Here is a 17,924-nt window from a genome sequence, read left to right as displayed (position 1 = left end):
ATTGCTTGAGCTTGGGAGGCGAAGGTTGTAGTGAGCCCAGGTTGTGCCACTGCACTCCAGCCTGGGTGACAGAGCAAGACCCTGTCTCAAAAAAAAAAAAAAAAAAAGTTCTAGAAGGCTACACACCAAACTTACAAAACTTACAACAGTAGTTACCTGTGGGGAGGAAGATTAGGTCCCCTGTCCTCCTTTGAGTAACAATAAAAGAAAAAAACCTTGAAAAAATGACCTCTTGACTTGTGGAACTGTTATTTTCATAGTTAGTAGGAGTTTAACCTTGCTCTGGTCTCACCTTCTCATCCCCAGATAAAAGCTGAGGATGACCAGCCCCTCCCGGGAGTCCTCTTATCCCTGAGTGGTGGCCTGTTTCGTTCCAACCTCTTGACCCAGGACAACGGCATTCTGACATTCTCAAACCTGGTAACGTGTTCTGCAATTTACCACCTGCCTGTCTTCCCTGAGAGAGAGCCAGGATGCAGCATGCGAGACTTATGTGTTGCTTGACAACGTGAGAAGAGAAGGCCAATGTGGAGTGGTTTCAGTTTCTTGGGGGCCCACGGTCATTAGAGTATTGCTCTTACTCGAACTTAATGCTGCTGATTCATGTTCCCTTCCACACGCGCTTCTTGTTTTCTGATCACCCGCTTGTCACTAAGACAGTGTAATTAATTTCCCTGGCCACAACGGCTGCTCTCTTAGGCGTCTTCTCGTTTTGCCACAGAATCATGTTTATGATGCTGAGTCTTGTTTGGTGGTTAGCTTGCGTTTCTTCTGAAAAGACATTCCACTTGGTGGGAAGAGAGCAGCAGTTTTTCTTTCAAGATGCAGTCGGAGGCCCTGACTGGTGGGGATTCAGGAAGTGTGTGTTAGTTGGTCATCTTGTCAGTCATGGTGACAAAGTGGCTGTGGTGGGGCTACTGGAGACCGGGCAGTGGGGGCATCTGAAGACACCACTTTGCAGTGATGCAGACTGCTCCTTACTTGCTGTGTCCTATCAGGCAAGTTACTTTGCCTCTCTGAGCCTCAGTTTCTTTATTCATTAAATTCAAATATGAGCCAGGTATGGTGGCCCACGCCTGTAATCCCACCGCTTTGGGAGGGTGAGGCAGTAGGATCGCTTGAGCTTGGGAGTTTGAGACCAGCAACATAGGAAGACCCCATCTCTACAAAAAATAAAAAAATTAGCTGGGCATGGTGGTGCATGCCTGTGGTCCCAGGTACTCAGGAGGCCGAGGTGGGAGATTTGCTTGAGCCCAGAAGGTTGAGACTACGGTGTGCTGTGATCGTGCACTCCATCCTGGGGGACAGAGTCAGGCCCTGTCTCAGAAAAAAAAAAAAAAAAGAAAAGAAAAATTAAATATGACTTCTACCTCTCTGAGTCATTGCAGGCAGGTGATACCATCAGCTGCCGTTGTTAGAGTTGTGATTGCCACTACCTGACTGTGAGTGGTGATTATAGAGAGAGGGTTACTATTTTTGGCTGCCAGGGAAGCCATGGCGCTCCCCTGGTGTAATTCTGGTCCATCGTGACATTCGCCCCTCACTTTTAAGCCATGCCTAGATGTGGCTGCTGAGGCTCAGTGTGATTATCTTGGCAGAGCCCTGGCCAGTATTACTTCAAACCCATGATGAAGGAGTTCCGGTTTGAGCCATCCTCACAGATGATCGAGGTGCAGGAAGGCCAGAACCTGAAGATCACCATCACGGGGTACCGAACCGCTTACAGGTAAGTGCCCTGGCCACCCCACTCTCTTCCAGGGCTGGGCTGGTGAATCACATTCAGGCCTCTGTTGCCTGGAAACGCATCCCAGGCTTCACACTGATTTTACTTGGGAGGGAAGGGAGATGAGATATGAGGGCAAAGGAGTTTTGACTGCTGCCCTTCTCTCCTAGGAGCTCAACCTGGTGGTTCAGTCTCAAATTTCCTATTTTGGAATTGGCTTGAGAGAGCCTATTGAGTTGCTAAAAGCTTTTATTTATTTTTTATTTTTTGAGACGGAGTTTCATTCTTCTTGCCCAGGCTGGAGTACAATGGCGCAGCCTTGGCTCACTGCAACCTCTGCCTCCCGGGTTCCAGCAATTCTCTTGTCCTGGCCTCCCAAGTAGCTGGGACTGCCACCATGCATGGCTAATTTTTCTATTTTTAGTAGAGACAAGATTTCACTTTGTTGGCCAGGTTGGTCTCGGACTCCTGATCTCAGATGATCTGCCTGCCTCGGTCTCCCAAAGTGTTGGGATTACAGGCGTGAGCCACTGCGCCTGGCCACTTTTATTTTTTAAAAGAGTTTCAAACCTGAATTACATCATTAAAAGGAGAAAATGTGCTCAGTTGAATAAAACTTCAAAATGCTGAAAAGAGTATAGTGTAAAATTTCCCCTCTGTCTCGTCTCCTAGCCACCCAAGTTCCTCTTCTGGGAGACAACCAGTACTTCCAGTTTTTCTGAATGCTCCCAGCTGTAGATAGATAGATACACATGAGTGTCTGGCAAGGCACAGTGGCTCACACCTATAATCCCAGCACTTTTGGAGGCTGAAGTGGGAAGTTCTCTTGAGTCTGGAAGTTCAAGACCAGCCTAGGCAACATAGCAAGACCCCGTCTCTACAAAAAAATAAAAATACAAAATAAAAAAGATACACATCTATAGATAGAGAGATGCATACATATATACATGTATACACACAGATACACACATATGTGTATTTTTTGTAGACTTATACAGAATCACTTTAGAGGAAGAGTAATTGGAAAGATTGGGTTTAGAAAAATGGACCATTTTCTACTGAATATATGGAATGAAAGAGGAAGTGAGTTATTTCCATGTTATTGAAAGCTCCATTATTTCAAATAAAGCCTAGAAAGAATAAAATAAAGCTTTAGCCTTCTTAAATTACAATTTTCCAGAGCATCCCTCAAAATGTATGAGAAAAGAAATTGATGGCAGCTTATCCCTCCGGCAGGAAGGTGTGGTTTGAAAGTGGGCCGGCCACACCGAGTTGCCTGGGTCATTGAGGCACAGTTCTCCCCTGAACTATTTTGCCCCATAATTGTTGGTAAACGGGAAACACTTGGGTCCTTCAGATAACCATGAGAATATCTCATTCGTGCCTGTTCTTGCCATACTAGTTGCTATGGCACAGTGTCTTCCTTAAACGGAGAGCCCGAACAAGGGGTTGCCATGGAAGCGGTGGGCCAGAACGACTGCAGCATTTACGGAGAAGACACCGTGACAGACGAAGAGGGCAAGTTCAGATTACGTGGATTGCTGGTGAGACTTGGAATGTGTTTTCTTTGGGGACTTTTTTTTCATCCTGTGTCCAGAAGTATCTTGTGGTGGCCCCAAGACTGCTAGGAGTGGGTTGGGCGAGAGGGCTGGGGGTGGGGCTCTGGAGCCCTCCCAGTTCTTACCTTTAATTGGTAGAGTTTGCCTTTTTTCTAGCCAACAGGTCAGATCAAGGATCTGTGGCACAATGGAGTTGGAAAACCATGGGTTTGGTAGGGCTTTTCCCTAGCAGTATGTGGCCATGGCTTACGCCAGGGCTCAAGCCAAACGCCTATGGAGCCAGAAGAGCAGTATGAACGGGGGAGAGGAGGCTGTGCGAAATGATAGGGAGTGGTGAGGGCTGTGGAGTGGGCACGGCCTGTGGAAAGGGACAGCCTGTCACTTGGTTCCAGCTTATTGTAGCCATGGGGGAAGACAGAGTCAGGGTTGCCAGATCCTTGAAATTTTAAAAAGAGAAGTCAGAAATTCCCACTTCCCAGAAATAATACCCAACACAAGCATTTGGGAATGCTTATGGTGGACATTCCAGATATCCATCAATGTGTATATACGGGTAGAGGGGAGGGGTGGATGGAGAGGAAAAACATCTTAGAAGAGTAAGAGCACATAGTATGCTTGGAATTTTGAAATAAGAAACCAAATTTGATTTATTTTGGGGTAGGAGAAAATGAAACTGAGTTGGGATGGAAGGAGTCGCAAAATTTCAGATGTTTCAACACTAGGGGTGTTCTTAAAGGAACTCTGGACTCTTAAGGTTAACAGGCCACAGATTAGGAAATGAGGGGAGAGAAATGCTCCTGTCTTAATGATCTCGTGCAGCCAAACCAGGCTTGGACCAGGCACGATACGACAAGCCCCCTTTCTAGAGAACTGACTCCTGAGTTTTTTTGCAGCCGGGATGTGTGTACCACGTTCAGCTCAAGGCAGAAGGCAACGACCACATTGAGCGGGCGCTCCCCCACCATAGGGTGATTGAGGTAAGGCATTCAGTGCTGCCGCTGCACCTGGGTGTGGGTGCCTCCCTAATCAGAAGTCCTCCCGTCTCCTCTGGCTGTCTGCCTTTCATCTGTGGCGGGGGGAACTTTCATCCTAATTAAGGGTCCTCTTAGAATAGTGTCATCTTCACAAGCAGAATCTTATGTGGGTTTTTAGTGAACAGCGTTGCTGTCATGCATCCAGAAAGGAAATTGGAACTGTTGTATCCTCCCCGCGACTTGCCCTGTAAGCTCTGATCATTATTCTGCAAGTTAAGGAACTTAAGGCCTAAGCAGCATTTCAAATCAAGGGACAATAATAGCACATGGGCTTAATGGGTGGCAGGGCCACGCAGTTATCTTAGGTTCAGATGACCTTTTTCCTGCTCCCATTTTGTGGGCAGAGTCTTTTGATACTCAAGATCATGACCTAGCTAAATTAATCCCTAAAGAGGACATCCTTCGAGTCACAGAATGTGGCCTGGGAATCATTTGAAGTAAGGCTTTTCTCTTACTGAGTAACTCTCATTGGGAAGACTAGAGGGCTTAGGTAGGGCAAGAGGGGCTGCCTCTTAGTGGCTTTATTTAGGTGGCTTCATTATGCATGAAGATTGTGAGGGAGGATAGAACTTTTGACCTAGGAAGTGGATTTTCTTTTTTTTTTCTTTTTTTTTTTTTTTGAGATGGAGTCTCACCCTGTCACGCAGGATGGAGTGCAGTGCCGTGATCTCGGCTCACTGCAACCTCCTCCTTGTGGGTTCAAGTGATTTTCCCACCTCAGCCTGTAGCTGGGACTACAGGCATACACCATCACACCCGACTAATTTTTGTATTTTTAGTAGAGACGGGGTTTCACCATGTTGGCCAGATTGGTCTTGAACTCCTGACCTCAGGTGATCTGCTCGCTTCGGCCTCCCAAAGTGCTGGGATTACAGGCATGAGCCACCGCACCGGGCCGGAAGTGGATTTCCTTGACGTCTTTACGGTGTTGGCATTTTAAATGGCTGGGATGACTGCATCTCACACCAAAATGCTTTGCATGTTCTCGGTGTAGTAACTTAGGCCAGGATCACTAGCATAATGTGGACTGTGGCCGGGCAGGTATGAAAGGGAAGGGGGCCGGCCCTCTGGGATCTCGCAAACTCCATGTACAGACCTCACGCAGAGGGGGTGCTGTGACTCTGCCCCTGCTCTAACAGGCAAGAGCATCCTTCTCCTCTTTTTTTTTAAGAGAAGCTGGAAAATCTGGCTTCATATATGAAATTTCTTAATTTTTAACATGTTGGCAAGTAATTCAAACGTAGAAAAAAAATACTGTGCTTTCGAAATGAAATGTGTCTATGGGCCAGGGATATGCCCCTGCTCTAACAGGCAAGAGCATCCTTCTCCTTTTTTTTTAAGAGAAGCTGGAAAATCTGGCTTCATATATGAAATTTCCTAATTTTTAACATGTTGGCAAGTAATTCAAACGTAGAAAAAAAATACTGTGCTTTCGAAATGAAATGTGTCTATGGGCCAGGGATAGCCATCTTCTGTCGGTTTGTGACCTTGGACGTAGGGTACTCAATGACAAACTTAGCTTCCTTAATGTAAGAAGCAAAGTTTGCCATGAAGCAGCTCTCAGGCCATCGGACAGCTGGCATAGAAGTTCCTCCACCAGCTTTCTCATTACTGGCATTCCCTCTTTCTCTCTCTAGGTTGGGAATAATGACATCGATGATGTAAACATCATAGTTTTCCGGCAGATTAATCAATTTGATTTAAGTGGAAATGTGATCACTTCCTCTGAATACCTTCCTACGTTATGGGTAAGTCCAGACTTTTAAGCTCCAAGTATTGTGTTCCCTTTGGCTTTGAGACAAGTACGAATGGGATGTTTTTGGTTTTGTGCCTGTCTCGTGCCTTAGGTGTGACAGGTGGAGGTGCTCCAGAGTGCCGCCTGCTGAGGGTTGAGGTTGAGATTTAAGAACCTTGGACCACAACACGTATTTGGGAGAGTGATTGCCAGTTGTGGGAGAGAATGTGGTCCAGTTTCAGATAACTGTCTGCCATCAGTTAATCTTCCAAAGAATTATAGTAGAAGCCTGATCAATGATCAATACAATATGGAATCTAACGTGGAAAGCCAATTCTAAAGAAAGCGCCTTGTAACTTAAAATTTTCTCTGGAGTGGAGGTCGTATTAAACGTTCTTGCATTGGTTTAAAGAAATGCCTGAGGCTAGATAATTTATAACAAAAGAGGTTTCATTGGCTCCTCGTTCTGTAGGTTGTACAGGAAGCATAGTGGCGTCTGCTTCTGGGGAGGCCTCAGGAGGCTTCCAATCATGGCAGAAGGTGAAGTGGGAGCAGGCATGTCATGTGGGAGAAGCTGGAGCAAAAGAGAGAGTTGGGGCATGGTGCCACACACTTTTAAATGATCAGATCTCACAAGACTCATAACGAAGACAGCACCAAGCCACGAGGGATCCACCCCAAAGATCCGATCATCTCACAGCAGGCCCTACCTCCGGCACGGGGGATTACAATTCAACATGAGATTTGGGCAGGGACAAATATCCAAACAGTATCAGAGGTGGTGGACGGTGGGCTGGAGAGCAGGTGGTCTGGGCTTTCTCTTGTCTCCAGTAGTGACTCACCTTGCTGCCTGGGCCAGTCACTTCATTTCCACATGCCTCGACTTCGTCCTCTGCAAAACCTAGATTTTGGACTCAGAGACCTCTTATAATCTTGTTCAGCTCTAACAAAATCTCCATGTTACCATTAATGAAGAAATGTTTATAAAATACCCTGCAGACCCTCTGCGGATGTTAGTGATTTGCTCTGGGGGTACATTGTTAAGATGCGCTTGTAATTTTATAAGCAGTTAAGTATTTGGCATGGGTGAGAAAGTGTGTGTGCGCTTTAGTCCACTCTGTCCAGGGCTTGCAGGCGTGTGCTTGTAGGGACCAGGCAGGTAATGTCAGAGAGTGCAGAGGGTTGGGTAGGGTGGGGGGCAAACTGGGGAACTCCTGCCCCATCCATGAGGGGCACAAGGGAGGGGAAGAGGCAGAGAGGAGGGGAGGGCGCCACTCTCTTGCTCCTGAGTGTTGCTGTGCTAGAATTGAGGCTCAGGGTTGGTGTCACTTCCCAGTTTTCCGGAGAAGCTGGAAATTAGAATTATTTGAAATCACCTGATTTTTAAATATAGTCGGTGAATTCAGATTTACTTAAGATGTTATAGAAGAAAAAAGAACACATAAGGGATCTTCAATGCGACCCATAACCTTCAGTCTGTGACTTTCATTTTAGGAAAATTCCCCTGGTGTGTTATGTAGAAAGGTGCCAGTGTGGGCCCAGGGAGGTGGTCCTGGCATTCTCTTGCGGCAGGTGCACTGTGGCATCCTCACAGCCTTTGCCATCAGCCAGGGCTGCACCTTAACCCTGCTCATGCCCCATCCCGTGTGGGAGTGAGAACAGGCAACAACCCCAGAAATAAAGCCAGAAACAAAGTACTCCAGTGCCTCCTGAAGCAGCGTGGAGAGCCACGTACATGATGGAATGCGTTTTGAGTTTAACAGATTGGTGGAGTTAAGGTGACATCATATGATGAGGCAGTGCAAGGCGGGAAGGACCCTCAGGAGTCGTCAGGGGGTTGAGTCCCAGGCTCTACCATGTGTAAGTTGTGTGACCTTAGGTGACTTTGGCTCTCTGGGTCTCCATAGGGATAATAACAATACCTGTTTTGTAGTCAGGATTGGCGATAATGTAGATAAAATATCTGGCGCCTGCCTGGCATATTACAGATGTTCAACACGTGTTAGAAGCTATTTTTAATATTACTATTATATTAACTTATATTACTATTTTGAGCAAGAACATGGGTAGTCAGAATCTGATTTGAATCTTAATTTCTGTGCATGATACATAACTGGATGGAGTCTCAGATGACAGAGGGATGTGTGATGTCTATGGAGGGAGCTTTCTTTTTCAAATATCCATGTTTCCAAAGACACCTACCCAGAGAGCGGCTGTCCTGAGGATGTCTGCTATGAAATATTGATTGTGTTTCAGTTTCAAAGCATGTCTGACTTTGTTTCTCCCTCCAGGTCAAGCTTTACAAAAGCGAAAACCTCGACAATCCAATCCAGACAGTTTCCCTTGGCCAGTCCCTGTTCTTCCATTTCCCCCCACTGCTCAGAGATGGCGAGGTAATGCCTGTGGCCGGATTCTACCTTCTGCCTTTGTTTTAATAATTCTGCTGTTTAGTTTAAGGAAGCACAGTTCTCTCCTTTTCTCCCTAAATACCACTCTGCAGAAATGCGCTCTCTGAATCAAAAGAGGTTGGGTTCTGTAGGGATTATTTTTTCTTCATTGTTTTTCTGTTTACAAAAAGAATACATATTCATGGCAGGAGATTTTGGGAAAAAGAAGACATAAGCCCATCATCCAGAAATAGCCACTGCTAACATGGTGATTGGTATCCTTTGGGTCTTTTTTCAGGCACGTGTGCGCATGCATGTATAAATATAAATAGACATTTATTTTAATAATTCAAAACTGACACTGTTTTGTACATTGTTTTGTAATCCATGCTTTTCAATGAAGAATTTATCACAAATCTGTTCCTCATCATCAAATCTTTCTTTTTTTTTTTTTTTTGAGACGGAGTCTCGCCTTGTCGCCCAGGCTGGAGTGCAGTGGCGCAATCTGGGCTCACTGCAAGCTCCGCCTCCTGGGTTCACACCATTCTCCTGCCTCAGCCTCCGAAGTAGCTGGGACTACAGGCGTGCGCCACCACACCCGGCTAATTTTTTTTTTTGTGTATTTTTAGTAGAGACGGGGTTTCACCATGTTAGCCAGGATGGTCTTGATCTCCTGACCTCGTGATCCACCTGCCTCGGCCTCCCAAAGTGCTGAGATTACAGGCGTGAGCCCCCGTGCCTGGCCAAATCTTTCATACTATGATTTTTATGGACAGTAGTCCATAAACTAGGAAACGCGATGATTTATTTAACCAAGGCCTACTGTTGGGCATGATCGACTCTTGCACTTTGAACATATCACCCCATGCTTTCCTGCTAAGAAGTCCACTTTTAAAAATGCCTTGTAATTTTTAAAAATTCCTCTATTTTAACATTCTGCTATTGAGTTTAGGGAAATACAGTTTCCTCATGATGGGGGATCCCTTGAATGAGATGAGTTGCTTTTCTCTTGCTGCTTTGAACGTTCTCTCTGTCTTTGATAATCTGATTATAACGTGTGTCGTGTAGAACACTTGCAGCTCCACCTTTTCAGTGTCCTTTGGGTTCCATGAATCTGGATGTCTCCCTCCTTGGAACTGGGAAGTTTTCAGCCATTATTCTGGCCGTCATTTACTGATTATAAAGTGCTTATTATCAATTCTATTTGGACAGAGCTAACTTGTAGTTGGTGTGGGGAGTGCAAACTTTGCAAAGAATTTGGTTCTTTTCTGGTGGTCTTAGCCTGAGGATGTCAAGTGTGAGCCTAGAGGGTGACGTTTCCTCTCCTGGCTCCTTACCACCTGCCGTGAAGATGATCTACTCTGGCCTTTCTCTGTGGAAAATGGCTGCGAAATAATGAAACAGGCTGTCACGGAATTTTCTCCTCCTCTTTCTCCAGGGGTGTTGAAATAGTCACTTCCTACAGCGATGCGGAAACATCTTGGGCTTTGGGGTCACACTTCCCCTGAGTTCAGAGCCTTCATAGATGTGTGGCAGCCTTCTTAGCTGAGTGACCTTGGGCAAGTTACTCTTAGTCTCTTCGTGCTTGACTTTCCTCGTCTATAAGACGGGGTGATGATCCCGACCTTGCCAGTGGTAGAAAGCAAAGCAGCCGCGGGCCTCATGCAATGTGCATGGTGCCTGGCAGCTGGTCGGTGCTCAGCACACAGAGCTGTGACGGGCCTCATGCAATGTGCATGGTGCCTGGCAGCTGGTCGGTGCTCAGCACACAGAGCTGTGGCTGCCCCTGGTGCCGTTCCAGGGATGCTGTATTTTTAGGATTTGCCAGCTTACGAGCCTCTCAAGCATCGTCCCTTAGAAGTCAGCCCCGTTGTGGATCCTCAGTTGTATCACGTACCTCCCTCATCAGAATTGGCTCATAATAATTTTTTGTGTTTCATAAAGTCAGATCCTCAGAGGACCGTAATTGTCAAGGTTGGGTACTCATAAAAAGGCTGCAGGCTCTGACAGCCTTATCAGAAGCCACAGTCTCAGAGACACTGGGGACACATGCCCGCCACTGATGGAATAGCCCGCTGAGGTTGATACTTTGAAGGCAGCAACCTTGGTTTGGATGTGTAGTCTTGGGGATTTCTTTAAAAACATAAAGTTCTTTACATCACAGCCATACGTTAGGTTTTAGTTTTCATTTGCTTTGCCAGAGCTGTCCTTATAAAAATAACTTCTTCCCATGTGTGCACAGAACTATGTTGTGCTTCTGGACTCCACACTCCCCAGATCCCAGTATGACTACATCTTGCCTCAAGTTTCTTTCACCGCAGTGGGCTACCATAAACACATCACCTTGATTTTTAATCCCACGGTAAGTAAAAGAGGGAGTTAAAAAAAAATCCATGGGCTGGGTTTGGTGGCTCACGCCTGTAATCCCAGCACTTTGGGAGGCCAAGGCTGGTGGATCTCTTGAGCCCGGGAGTTTCAGACCAGCCTAGGCAATACGGTAAAACCCCAACTCTACAAAAAATACAAAAATTAACCGGGCGTGGTGGAACGCACCTATAGTCCCGGCTACTCAGGAGGCTGAGGTGGGAGGATCACTTGAGCCTGGGAGGTTGAGGCCTCGATGAGCCATGATCATGCCCCTGCACTCCAGCTTGGGTAACAGAGTGAGACCCTTTCTCCAGAAGAAACAAAACAAAACAAAACAAAACAAAACAAAACAATCCATGGGGTGGCGAAAGAAGGCATGTCCATACAACCTGTGCTCCAGGTCGCAGGTTGCAGGGCAGATATTTAAAGGGCTCCTGGCATTGGGTCACTTTCTCATTCTGCCTTCTGGATTCTGGGCTTCCCCAGATTGTTTTTAGCTTTTCTGAGCACTGATGCCTGCGATTCCCTTTGAGGAGGAAACTGGTAATAAGAGCAGTGTAATTGTTTAGATCGGTGGCTCAGGAATGATTTTGGGGGAGGAGGGACACCACTATCGCTGGTGTGGCGTGTGCTTCTCCATGAGGGAGCACATGGTACATGGCCACGCAAACCCCTAGAACCAACTGCTACTTTACAGGAAATAGGGAGGACCCAGGAGCACGCAAATGACTCCACAGGGATGCAGGACAACCACCTGGAGCCTGATTTGTTTGACAAATAAATTGCAAGGAAAAAAAAACCAACAACAGATGGACAGAATACCTGTGGGTTAAAAGAAACTTAACTTATCGCTTAATTCATTGCAATATGTGGCCCTTACTATTTGCAATATGTGTATCTGTTGCATACGGTCTGTCCTGTATCCGATAGGCTGGAACAGTGGAACAAACAAAACATACACGTATCTTTTACCTTCTTGATAAAATTGTTTAGTGATTCCTAAAGCTCAGATGCAGTATTGTCACCTGATGATTAAACAGACACATCAGCAATAGCAAAAACAGAGTCCAGGGCTCAGCCTCAGGACTGCTGATTCTGAACTTGACGGGGTGAAAGTGTAGCACAGGAGTCTGCATTAAAAACAAAAATCTGGCCTCATAGCTACTGTGTTGGTTGTTGCTTCTAGGCCTTTTCAGTGGGCAGAATAAGAACTTTATTGTTTTCAAAAGATGTAACTGTAAGTGGAACAATATCCTCCGATCCTCCTTTTTCCTTTTTTGATAACGACACAGCATTCCTCTGTGTGGATATACCGTGTGTCTTAGGCCATTTGGGCTGCTATTTTGTATCTTAGACTGGGTAACTTATAAACAACAAACATTTATTTCTTACAGTACTAGAGGCTGGGAAGTCCAAGATCAAGGCATTGGCAGATTTGGGGTCTGGCGAGGACTTGCTGTCTGCTTCATAGATGGTGCCACCTAGCTGTGTCCCCACAAGGCGGAAAGGGGCAAACAAGTTCCCTCAGGCCACTCTTACGGGGCATTAATCCCTGACTTAATCACCTCCTAAAAAGGGTGTCCTCTTGACACTATCACATTATGGATTAGGGTTCAACCTATGAATTACGTAGGCACAGACACATTCAGATCCTGGCACTACATGTAGGATATTCAGTTAGCCCCTGGTTGAGGGGCGTTTGTGTTGTTACTGGTTTTCTGCTATTACACATAACCCTTTAATGAATTGCCTTACGCATGCATGTTTTTGAGTGTTCGTCAGTCTCTCTTTGGAATAGACTCCCAGAAGTGGAATTGCTGAGTCAAAGGGTAAATGCATACGGAATTTTGATTGATACGGCCACTTCCCATCCATGGGGGTTTTACTGTTTTATATTCCCGCCAGCAGTGAATGAGTACCCTTTTTTCCCCAACAGAGTATTTTGTCAAATTTTTCAATTTTTGCAGGCTTATAGATGAGAAGTGATATTATCTCACTGTACTTCTAATTGCATTTCTCTCTTTTCATGTGGTTAAGAGCCATTTGTATTTTCTGTGAACTATTTAACCTATTTTTCTATAGAATTTTTGGTCTTTTTCAACCATTTTCAGCTCTTTGTATACTAGGAATATTAACCCTTTGTAATGTTTGTTGTACATATTTTTCCCAATTTGTCATTTATCTTTTCACTTGGTTTCTGCAAAGATTTACTTTATTTCTGTGTTAAATGTGTTGATTTTTTCTTATTGCTTCTGGATTTTAGAGTCATAGGAAGGTTTTCTTCATTCCCAGCTTTTACAGGAATTTATCGTGTTTTTTTCAGGCAGACTTTTATAGTTTCTGTTTTTACATTTAAATCTCTCTATCCATTTGGAGTTTTTCCTGGTATAGATGTGAAGTATGGCTCCAGATTGTCTTTTTCCACATGCTATCCAGTTACCATTTCATGCTTTTCAAACGCCATCCTGCATGGAAGGTGGACAGGAATTACCTTTCATTTAGAGATGAGAAGATGGGAACCTAGAAGGAGATGTGAGCAGCCCAAGGTCACCAGCTCACGTGGAGCAGTGCTAGGGCTTGAGCAGAGCTCTGCTGCTGATTCTGGGCTTCTGTGAAGAGTGATTCATGCTCAGTGAGCCTGTAAATATGATCTTACCTGAACAAGAGAGTTTTTCTCATGACCCACGAGGAAACACTTCCTTGTTACTCACAGTAGAGACCTGGTTAGAAAGTGCTGGAGAGGGCTAGGTGTGGTGGCTCACGCCTGTAATCCCAGCATTTTAGGAGGCTGAGGTGGGCAGATCATTTGAGGTCAGGAGTTCGAGACCAGCCTGGGCAATGTGGTGAAAGTGAAACCCCATCTCTGCTAACAATACAAACATTAGCCAGGCGTGGTAGCACGCACCTGTAATCCCAGCTACTCGAGAGGCTGTGGCAGGAGAATTGTGAACCTGGGATGCAGAGTTTGTAGTGAGCTAAGATAGCCCCAGTGCACTCCAGCCTGGGCGACAGAGCAAGACTGTCTCAAAAAAAAAAAAAAAAAAGAAAGTGCCAGAAAGATAAGCATATACAAGAACCACTTACCTTTGCTTGGGGCTGCATTGTGGCCCAGTTGCTGGGAGAGGCTTCTGTGAAGGCCGTTGATAGCTGCAGGCAGTGACATTCTCAGGGGCCCCTAGCAGACAACTCATCCGGGCTCAGGGACACACCTGGGAGCCAGTGGCAGGAATGTGGAGACACTGCTTGGTGGTGGCCGAGCAGCCCAGCCTCGTAGCTGCTGCCTGTCACTTCTGAGAATGTAAGAAACTGTGCCCTGGTGTGTGATGTTCCCCTTCCTGTATACCTATGTAACTAACCTGCACATTGTGCACATATATCCTAAAACTTAAAGTATAATTAAAAAAAAAAAAAAAAGCTGTGCCTGCTGGGGCTTGGATTCCCGAGCAGGGCCAAGTGTTGAATGAAGAGAGCGCCCACTCTGTGCCACCCCGTACAGGGCCCTCACAGGTTGATCCTCACAACAAGCCTTCAAGCAGGTGTGCCATTCCTCCCATTTTCACAGAAGCCCAGAAAGATTGAGTCACTTACTGAGTGTTAGCAGAACCAGGACTCAAGTGAGGCAGTTTGTCTCAAGCCACATGGTTTCCACCTCGTTCTGCCCTCCGCGTGATGAGTGGCTCAGCATTGCATGTTCACGGGGGCTTTGTAAGCACATTGGTTTCCTTCTTTGTTGATGTGACTGCCCACAGCCTCGCGACTGGATTTTACTCAGTATTCCATGCCCTGCTGAGCATTTCACATACTCCTTTCATCAAGTTTCACAGCATCCACCCCCAGTGGGTGTTGTTCATATGATCTCCATGTCATAGTTGAGTAAACTGAGTCTCAACGTGGTTGCCTGAGTTTACCCAGTGAGGCCTGGGACCTGAGCCTAGACTGAATCACTCTTAATTCCTGCTGAATTAAACTTTTATTTATTTATTCATTATTATTTTTTTCTGAGACAGAGTCTTGCTTTGTTGCCCCTGCTGGAGTGCAGTGGCACGATCTTGGCCCACTGCAACCTCTGCCTCCCGGGTTCAAGTGATTCTCACCTCCTGAGTAGCTGGAATTACAGGCATGCACCACCACTTCTGGCTAATTTTGTATTTTTATAGAGACGGGGTTTCACCATGCTGGCCAGGCTGTTCTCAAACTCCTGACCTCAGGTGATCTGCCCACCTCAGCCTCCCAAAGTGCTGGGATTACAGGCGTGAGCCACTGCACCTGGCCTGAATTAAACTTTTAAGTAAGTGTTTACTTCAGTGGAAAAATGGGTTGGGTTCTAAGAGATGTCCAGAGATACAGGAGTAGGCAGTTGTTGATGGAAATCTGTTCCTGCCCTTATTCTTTCATTTATGAAAGGGCATCCCAGGTACAGCGGCCCCCACAGTCACTCTCTAGCCCAGCAGTTCTCGGATGGGTTGGTTGCAGGACCCCTTTATACTGTTAAAAATTATTGAGGATTTTAAAGAGTTTGAGTTTGCATGGATTATCTCTGTGTATATTTATCATATTAGTAATTAAAACCGAGATGTTGAAAACGCAAGAACTCACAAGCTACACATTCCGTTAGCTGTGGGCGTGATGACATCAGGGTGCGTAGTCTCTGGAAAAGTCCACTGTGTGCTTGCGAATGAAAGAGGGCGGAAAAGGCACATCACATCTTACTATTGGCTGAAAATAGCTGTGGCCTCGGGAACCTCTGCGAGAGGAGTCCCGGTATCCTACACTGAGAACACTGCTCTGGCTCATTAACTTGTTTTTATCATTATTGGGAAGTTCTCCTTCCATTTATTTGCTTCCTTTATGAGAGTAGAGTGGGCCAATGGGATATAGGTTCACTTGATGCTTTAGAACCCAGCATTTCAGGGGCTTTAGCAAGATGGAAATGTCTGTCTCATGTCAAGTGTCCAGGAGTGACCAGTGCAGAGATAGTCTGGTAGCTCCAAGGCGTCAGGGGACCCAGGCCCCTTCTGTCTCATTGTGCTGTTCCAGTGCATTGCTTTTCTCCAAAATGGGGCAATTGGCCAAATGCTGTCTACCCAGCAAAAGGGAGGGCACACCACTTCCCTAGGGTCCAGCCAGGGTGTGGCACTTACCGCTTCTGTTCCTGTACCATTGGCCAAAATTTAGTTCCAGGGCTGCGCCTGCTGCAGGGAAGGCTGGAAAAGGTGATCTATATTGTCGGTGGCCCAGATAAAAGTTGGGGGTTCTATTGGGAGAAAGGGAGAATGGCCACAGGGATGCTAGTAGCAGTGCCTGCTTTGCTTCCTCACTAGACCGTACTGGCTGGGAATAGCTGCCCATCACTGTGTGCCCTGGGTCTAGAACTGTAGGTTCTTGATACATCCTTGTAGGACTAAGTCCCTGCATGTTGCTGGGACTCAACAAACTGAGACCCAGTTGCTTTTCAACCACCAAGACTCTCTGATAGCTGCATCTCTTCATTTCCTCAGTTGGGAGGAGGGTCCAGAGGCTGAGGAATGCCTTGTCATTGGAATCTCTTTGTCCCTGAGTTTCAGAAGCAAATAGTGAAGCTTTGGGCAGAAGAGGATTCATGGGAAAATACATCCAAATCACTTTGGTTCCTTCCTTTGGATAGAAGGAATTTGGATCATGAGGGCCCCTGGGTGTCCTCAAGTGGCCACTTTGGAAGGCTGGGTGGGTGGTGGCTGTGGCATTGTGGATGATGGACAAGCTTGTGGCCTTGGTGAGGAGTGATGGGGCTCTCGGTGTTTGCAGAGGAAGCTGCCTGAACAGGACATCGCACAAGGATCCTACATTGCCCTGCCATTGACGCTGCTGGTTCTGCTGGCCGGTTACAACCATGACAAGGTAGGAAATCCAGAGGCCTCAGGAGATGGCGGGCATGTCAGGGAGAGCGAGTCCTCACAGCTGCAGGAGTGATAGCAGAGGGATGTCCAGGGTCACAGAAATCACATTTCCGGGTCGGGAGGGCCCGTGAAGGCCTCAAGTCCAGACTTAGGTCTCCTTTCAAGGCTGTAAACTTCTGTAACATCTCCTAATCCTTAAACCTGGAACACCTCTAGGGACATATTAGGCCCGGAGAGAGGCCAGCCCATCCCTGGGGACTCATTAGTAAGAGGCCTGCCTCGTTTGAACTGAAACCCACCCATTAGCACGTGGCAGCTGCTGATCATGTCTGAAGAAGGTGTGTTGAGAAGTGAGGCTCCGCTGTTCATCTGGCAAAAGCCTCCTCTTTGTACCCCTCTCTCTCACACTTTCTCTCTTTTCTAGCTCATTCCTTTGCTGCTGCAGTTGACAAGCCGGCTACAGGGAGTCGGCGCGCTCGGCCAGGCAGCCTCTGACAATAGCGGCCCAGAAGATGCAAAGAGACAAGCCAAGAAACAGAAGACAAGGCGGACGTGAGGAGGAAGGGGACAGTTGCAGTCTCACTTGGGACAGGCCACAGCCAGGGGTCCGGCCACTACCCGCCCGTGGGATAAAAGCCAAAAGCATGCGTCAGCTAACTTCAGCCTGTGCTGCTGGGCCCGCACCCCATGTCCCTTGTCACTGTGGCATCCTGCACCCATCCTCACCCCTCCGTAGAGCCCCTCGTGCAATGCAATGAATGGACCCTCCTGTCACTCTGCTGAACAGAATTTATTTTCTGAGTCAAATATAATTTATTATTATTTTTGTCAAAGAAGTATTTAAGCTGTGCTGTGGTGTGAGAATGTCATTCTTGATCTTCAGCCTTCGTTTGCAAGAAGAGTTCCAGTTGATGTGGTGTTTGGTTCCATGGCGGGGTACCCTAGGGATTCATCTGTTTTCTTCACTTCCCTTTGCATCTGAGATCCTGCTGGAAACCACGGCAACCTGTATCCACTATTAGGAGGTAAAAATCAATAAAATGGCCCATTCATTTGTGTTGTAGCTCATCATAGATGTATTTCTTGGATGACATGCACGTAACCCCCGGGAGTCTTCAGTTGAGCCAAATGTAGAGCAAGTCAGAGTCCTGAGTGAAGCTGGCTGGGGCAGGAAAAACACGAGCTCAGCCAACATGGTCCCCAGCAGCTTTTGGCGTCAGTGATAGAGAAATCGGAGATAGTG

General features: G+C 46.5%; 1 protein-coding gene across 1 annotated transcript; it reads left to right on the top strand.

Moving 5' to 3' along the window:
* The first annotated feature begins 285 nt into the window (after positions 1–285).
* On the top strand, positions 286–17,749 carry LOC102723728 (nodal modulator 3-like). The gene is made up of 9 exons (XM_006720996.4): positions 286–420; positions 1,599–1,726; positions 3,126–3,267; positions 4,176–4,259; positions 5,954–6,064; positions 8,343–8,444; positions 10,681–10,800; positions 16,590–16,682; positions 17,106–17,749. Exons 2-9 carry the CDS (start codon positions 1,626–1,628, stop codon positions 17,235–17,237), a joined length of 885 nt encoding a protein of 294 aa, XP_006721059.1. The 5' UTR covers positions 286–420; positions 1,599–1,625; the 3' UTR covers positions 17,238–17,749.
* Positions 17,750–17,924: the final 175 nt, after the last annotated feature.

Source organism: Homo sapiens, chromosome 16 (genome assembly GCF_000001405.40).
Source record: "Homo sapiens chromosome 16, GRCh38.p14 Primary Assembly".
NCBI lineage: Eukaryota > Metazoa > Chordata > Mammalia > Primates > Hominidae > Homo > Homo sapiens.
Note: the sequence above shows the minus strand (reverse complement) of the source record. Positions and strands in the feature narration are given on the sequence as shown.